The sequence below is a fragment of the Homo sapiens genome, chromosome 7, assembly GCF_000001405.40.
Source record: "Homo sapiens chromosome 7, GRCh38.p14 Primary Assembly".
Taxonomy (NCBI): domain Eukaryota; kingdom Metazoa; phylum Chordata; class Mammalia; order Primates; family Hominidae; genus Homo; species Homo sapiens.
This window is the reverse complement of record NC_000007.14, coordinates 69,387,330-69,394,470: the sequence shown is the minus strand read 5'-3', so window position 1 is coordinate 69,394,470 and position 7,141 is coordinate 69,387,330. Positions and strand designations below refer to the sequence as shown.

The 7,141-nt window shown below is 47.1% G+C and overlaps 1 long non-coding RNA gene across 1 annotated transcript; it reads left to right on the top strand.

Moving 5' to 3' along the window:
- The first annotated feature begins 359 nt into the window (after nucleotides 1-359).
- LOC124901667 (uncharacterized) lies at nucleotides 360-6,705 on the top strand. Its single transcript, XR_007060374.1, has 2 exons — nucleotides 360-831; nucleotides 6,138-6,705. It is a non-coding gene; the product is annotated as an uncharacterized LOC124901667 (long non-coding RNA).
- The last annotated feature ends 436 nt before the right edge of the window (nucleotides 6,706-7,141 follow it).

Genomic DNA, 7,141 nt, shown 5'->3' with positions numbered 1-7,141 from the left:
CCATCAGATTAGTTAGGTACAGAGTATCCACACAAAGGTTCTCCAAGGTCCCACCAGAGCAGCTAGATAGAGTGTCGATTGGTGCACTCACAAACCCCCGAGCTAAACACAGGGTGCTGATTGGTGTGTTTACAATCCCTGAGCTAGACATAAAGGTTCTCCGAGGCCCCACCAGACGCGGGAGCCCAGCTGGTTTCACCGAGTGGATCCCGCACCGGGGCTGCAGGTGGAGCTGCCTGCCAGTCCCGCACCATGCGGTCGCACTCCTCAGCCCTTGGTTGGTGGATGGGACTGGACGCCGTGGAGCAGGGGGCGGCGCTCGTCGGGGAGGCTCAGGCTGCGCAGGAGCCCATGGAGGCGGGGTAAGGCTCAGGCATGGCAGGCTGCAGTCCCGAGGCCTGCCCTGCGGGAAGGCAGCTAAGGCCTGGCGAGAAATTGAGCGCAGCGCCGGTGGGCTAGCACTGCTGGGGGACCCAGTACACCCTCCGCAGCCGCTGGCCCGGGTGCTAAGCCCCTCATTGCCCGAGGCCAGCAGGGCCGGCCGGCTGCTCTGAGTGCGGCCCGCCAAGCCCACGCCCACCCGGAACTCCAGCTGGCCCGCAAGAGCCGCGCGCAGCCCCGGTTCCCTCTCGCGCCTCTCCCTCCACACCTCCCCGCAAGCTGAGGGAGTGGGCTCCGGCCTTGGCCAGCCCAGAAAGGGGCTCCCACCGTGCAGCGGTGGGCTGAAGGGCTCCTCAAGTGCCACCAAAATAAGAGCCCAGGCAGAGGAGGCGCTGAGAGCGAGCGAGGGATGTGAGGACTGCCAGCACGCTGTCACCTCTCATTAGGATGGTAAGATTTACAATTTTTCAAGTTTACGATGGTGCAAAAACAATATGCATTCAGTAGAAACCATACTCCAGATTGTGATTTTTGTTTGTTTGTTTTTTAAAGCACAGGGTCTTGCTCTGTCACCCAGGCTGGAGTGCAGTGGCACTATCACAGGCTCACTGCAGCCTTCAATTCCTGGGCTCAGGTGATCTTCCTGCCTCAGCCTCCCCAGTAGCTGGGACTACAGGTGTGCACCACTGTGCCTAGAGAATTTTAAATTTTTTTTTGGAGGGACAGGGTACTCACTATATTGCTCAGACTGGTCTTGAACTCCTAGTCTCAAGCGATCCTCTTCAGCCTCCCAAAGTGCTGGGATTATAGGTGTGAGTCACTGTTCCTGGCCTGATTTTTGAATTTTGATCTTTTCCAGGGCTAGTAATCTGCAGGTTTGCTGCTGTCTTGCAATGCTGGGCAGTGGAAGCCAGCCACAGCTCCCCATCTGCTACGTGATCATGAGACTAAACAACCAATACGGCGTTCTGTGTTGCTCACATTGTTTTGCGTATTGTACTTTGTGTTTTTGACCCCCATCATGTCTGCAAAAGGCCTGTGTACAGTATTCCACACTTTATTAGAAAATCGGCATGATGTAAGGCCGGGCACGGTGGCTCATCCCTGTAATCCCAGCACTTTGGGAGGCCGAGGCAGGTGGACCACCTGAGGCCAGGAGTTTGCGAGACCAGCCTGGGCAACATGGTGAAACCCCATCTCTACTAAAAAAAAAATACAAAAAGTAGCCAGGCCTGGTGGTGTGTGCCTGTAATTCCAGCTACTCAGGAGCCTGAGGCAGGAGAATTGCTTGAACCTGGGAGGCAGAGGTTATAGTGAGCCGAGATTGTGCCACTGCACTCCAGCCTGGGCAACAGAGCGAGACTCTGTGTCAAAAAGAAAAGAAGAGAAAAGAAAATAGGCATGATGTTAAATGATTTTGCCCAGCTGTAGGCTAATGTAGGTATTCTGAGCATGTTGTTTTTATTTTATTTTAGAGATGGAGTTTTGCTCTTGTCGCCCAGGCTGGAGTGCAATAATGCAGTCTTGGCTCATTGCAACCTCTGCCTCCTGGGTTCCAGCAATTCTCCTGCCTCAGCCTCCCAAGTAGCTGGGATTACTGGTGCCCGCCAACACACCTGGCTAATTTTTGTATTTTTTAGTGGAGACGGAGTTTCACCATGTTGGCTAGGCTGGTCTCGAACTCCTGACCTCAGGTGATCCACCTGCCTCGGCCTCCCAAAGTGCTGGGATTACAGGCGTGAGCCACCATGCCCAGCTGCACGTTTAAGGTAAGACTCTGCTAAACTATGATGTTCGGTAGCTTAGGTGTATTAAGTGCATTTCGGCTCATGATATTTTCAACTTATGATGGGTGTATTGGGGTGTAACTTCACTGTAAGCCAAGGAGCATCTGTACGTAGCAAACCCCCATTTTGTATTTAGCATTGCGCTCTCTATCGTGAAGGTGTGAGAGAAGTATACGATTGATTTGTGGGAAAGTCAGTACAGTTGGAGAGAAGAGCTAAGGCACATACATGAAGAATTAGGGCAAAGTGTGATTTTACATATTAGCATACAGTAATTACCATAGATCCAAGTGCCAAATTGAGTGATTCCAACAATTAGAGAACAGGGCAGCATGTTGTAAGATGTGGATTATGTGTTATGAATAGCAAGTATAAAATGAGTTAGGAAAAGGAGATAAATGAAGGCTGGGATGAGGTGGGAGACTTGAGGAGGGAGTGAGATTCAATCTGAGTAATGCAGAAAGATGATAATAAAATAACAACATTGGGGCCAGGAGTGGTGGCTCACGCCTGTAATACCAGCACTTTGGGAGGCTGAGGTGGGCAGATCGCTTGAGCTCCAGAGTTCGAGAACAGCCTGGGCAATATGGTGAAACCCTGTCTCTACTAAAGACACAAAAAATTAGCCAGGTGTGGTGGTGCATACCTGTGGTCCCAGCTACTTGGGAGGCTGAGGTGAGAGAATCACTTCAGCCCAGGAGGTGGAGGTTGCAGTGAGCTGAGATTTCACCACTGCACTCCAGCCTGAGCATCAGTGTGAGACTGCGTCTCAAAACAAACAAACAAAAATAACAACACTGGGGCCTGGTGCGGTGGCTTATGCCTGTAATCCCAGCACTTTGGGAGGCCAAGGCGGGCAGGTGACCTGAGGTCGGGCGTTTGAGACCAGCCTGACTAACATGGAGTAACTCTTTCTCTACTAAAAATACAAAATTAGCTGGGCGTGATGGCACATGCCTGTAATCCCAGCTACTTGGGAGGCTGGGGCAGGAGAATTGCTTGAACCCACAAGTCAGAGGTTGCGGTGAGCCGAGATTGTGCCATTGCACTCCAGCCTGGGCAATAAGAGTGAAACTCTGTCTCAATAAATAAATAAATAAATAAATAAATAAATAAATAACAACATTGGATAAGGAGAGTTTTACTGTGTGCTAGGTACTCTTCAGCGTCCCTTTTACCAATTCATTTGATTTTCACAATAGCCTTATAAGGTTGGTCTTATTAATGTCCTAATTTTACAGATGAACACATTGGGGCACAAAAAAGGTTAAGTATTGTGTGCTGGGATACAGCTGGAAGGTGGAGGAGCTTGGATTTGAGCCCACAGTTTACTCTCAGTCCTTACACTGAGCCACTGGACTGTGCCACTGAATTCTAGCCTGGGCGACAGAGTGAGACTCTGTCTTAAAATAAAACAAAACAAAAACTTATTTATAATCTTTCTTCCTTGACTAGGTTGTAACCTTCATGATTCCAAGGACTTTATCTTTACTGTTAGCACGAAATTCTGGGATCTATGCTACTATCGGGCACATAGTAGGAGCTTGGTGAATATTTGCTGAATGATGAGTGTATGGTAGTAGAGCGGGCCTGGTGAGATTTCTTGAGGTGCTATTTATGGGAAATGGATCAGCCAGGGTAGGCGATGTTATGCGAAAGTAGTAACACCAAGACATCAATAGCCTGACACAGCAGACGTTCATTCCTGTTCAGTTTCAGTCATCTGCAGATCTAAGCAGCTTTCCAAGTAGATGTTCTCTGGGTCCTTTCTTGTTGGTTGTTTTGACCTTGTAATATTTTTTGTTTGTTTGTTTTTGAGACAGAGTTTCACTCTTGTTGCCCAGGCTGGAGTGCAATGGCACAATCTCAGCTCACTGCAACCTCCGCCTCCTGAGTTCAAGCAATTCTCCTGCCTCAGCCTCCTGAGTGGCTGGGATTACAGGTGCCCGCAACCATGCCTGGCTAATTTTTGTATTTTTAGTAGAGATGGGGTTTCACCATGTTGGCCAGGCTGGTCTCGATCTCCCAGCCTCAGGTGATCCATCTGCTTCGACCTCTCAAAGTGCTGGGATTACAGGCATGAGCCACCGCGCCCGGCCCCTTGTAGCATTTTTATCTCAAGTTCATCATGCTTCTGAGTTCACCATGGCAGAGGAAGAGAGCATGAGGAATCATAAACCAGCTCTGAAATACCTCTCCCTGGAAGTGACACATGTCATTTTTTTTGCTTACAATTCATTGACCAAAGCCAGTGAAATGGCCATGACTAACTTCAAGGGAGTGGAAGGAGAGGAGAAATGGAAATATAGAGAAGATGGTCGTGTCGACCACAGGATCTATACTGCCTCCGAAACTGCTGGAGAGAGAGTGGGGAAGAGTCCATGGAAGGCTTACGCAGGGAAGAAATGGTAAATAAACCCAACTGAGGATGTGGATTCAAGTGGGAAGAACAGAAGGCATTTGTGCACTGATGCTTCTTATAATTTATCTTTTTTTTTTTATTTTATTTTTTTTTAAGGTACAGGATCTCACTCTGTCACCCAGGCTGGAGTACAGTGGCGCCATCATAGCTCACTGCAGTCTCAACCTCCTGGGCTCAAGCAATTCTCCTACCCCACCTCAGCCTTCCCAATAGCTGGGACCACAAACGCACGCCACCACGCTCTGCTAATGAAAAAAATTTTTTTTGTAGAGATGAGGTTTTGCTATGTTGCCCAGGCTGGTCTCAAACTCCTGGCCCCAAATGATCCTCCCAGATTGGCTTCCCAAATTGTTAGAATTACAGGTGTGAGCCACAGCGCCTGGCCTTAAAATTTATCTTTGAAAGGTAAGAATGACAACTTCTCAATGACATGGACTCGCCTGTTGCTCTGCCAGGAGGGTGGAGCGTCTCTGTCTGTGCATGTGAACTCTGGACCTCATTCTTGGTGCTGTTAGACTATTCTATTCTGTTCTATTACCTGGATCTGCACCTTAGGCAATGTATTTTTAAACCCTAAATCTTTGTATGATCTTTGCTCACATCCAAACTTAACGGCCCTGTGTCCCTGTCACTTCAGGATTTTGGATTAAGCCATAAACTAATTCAAGCTAAGATGTGATAGTTTGATAAAACAACTCACCTAACATATTTGCATTTTAATGGAGGCTTTCAATGCCTTAAAGCAGAAGGGTTGTAATTTCAGGCACCCTGGTAAGCAGGTTGGGAAAATATTTTTCTCCAGAGGAACCTTTTAGTGCTCCTTAAATCTTATCACACTACTCTGCAGACAGAACAAGACTGACTCTCTTGGCTGATTTCTGTCGCATTCTAAGCTGGGTACCTCCTGGGGAGAGGGTGAGATGATAACGACGTAGGCCCTGTTTTATTAAGTGTATTGGCAAGAGAAGAAAGGAAACTTATTCAGAGGAGATGGACTCAGGTGTGCAGAGGAAAACAAATACACCGTCCCATGACTCTGTCCCCTGATAAAACATCCACTGGCGTTCTTCACGGAATTATGTGGCTTTTCCATAAAAGACAACATGGCTTTTTGTGTAGTTGTGGAAACAGCTAGGTTTCTTCCCTACTGTTTGACATTTTCCATGCTTGTTGCTAAATCTTTGACAGAAGCATTAGCTGGGCTGAAGAATAATAGTGTTGTAAGAAAGCTAATAATGGCCTAGAAAAAAAAAGTATGTATAATACATACCTTGACATTGAATCACTGAATACTTTAATAAGTAATGCACACAAACGGAGGCCTTTTGTGTTGACATAAAATGTAAGCTCTACCTTTTTTCTCCTCGAGATGCATAAAGAACCAGAGAGGAAAATAGATGGAAAAAATTCAAATATTTTCCTTTGTGGAGTGTGATGTGCCAATGTGCTGATGGGTTCTTTTTAATTTCCTTAAGTGTTAGAGAGAGAGAGAGAGGGAGAGAGAGACAGGAGATAGAGCGTGTGTTGCCTTTCTTGATGTTTTCCAGAAACTGGTTCCAGACGTGAGAGTTTTATTCCAATATGGCTTCCAGGATCCCAGAGGACTCGACTTGTAGAGAGCATCACTGGAGTCAGAAGGGCCGAGGTCCAGGGGCCAAGAACACACCTTGGTGCCAGAAGAAGTTCATAAGTCTTGAAATGCAGCATCTCCTGAGGTAGAATCATTGGGCAGAACTCATGATAACAGAGCCTTCAAGATGCGGAGTGAGGACAGGTGTGGGGGCTCACGCCTGTAATCCCAACACTTTGGGAGGCCAAGGCGGTTGGATCACCTAAGGTCAGGAGTTCAAGACCAGCCTGGCCAACATGGTGAAATCCCGTTTTTACTAAAAATACGAAGAATTAGCTGGATGTGGTGACGCCTGCCTGTAATCCCAGCTACTTGGGAGGCTGAGGCAGGAAAATCACTTGAACCTGGGAGGTAGAGGTTGCAGTGAGCTGAGATTGCACCACTGCACTTCAGCCTGGGCAACAGAGTGAGACTCCGTCTCAAAAAAACAAAAACAAAAACAAAAGATGGTGAGCGAGTAAGAGCAATAAAAATATTTGAATGTGTGACTCCTACACTTTTTAACTTAGATTTTTGGAAAAAAAATCCTTACACATTTTCATCGTAAAGATTCTCCTACTTGAGAATCTTGGCAGTTGATAAACTCAAAGCCATTTTTATTCCTTCCTGTAACTTTCAAGCATTATCCATAAATGCTATACAGCCCCCATCTTGCCCCATCCTTCCACCCTTTTCCCATCCTTCAAGCAGTTCTTGAAAAGCAGTTCTTGAAATGACCCCAAATATGCCTGTTGCTTCCTGCTGATGGTACTTAACCCTGACCAGAAATGGATTTAGTTAAGATGTATTTTTAATGGTAGCAACATGGCTATATATATTCACATATTCATTTATATTTTAAGAGATAAGGTCCTGCTCTGTCACCCAGGTTGGAGCGCAGCGGCATGATCATAACTCACTGCAGCCTCCAACTTCTGGGCT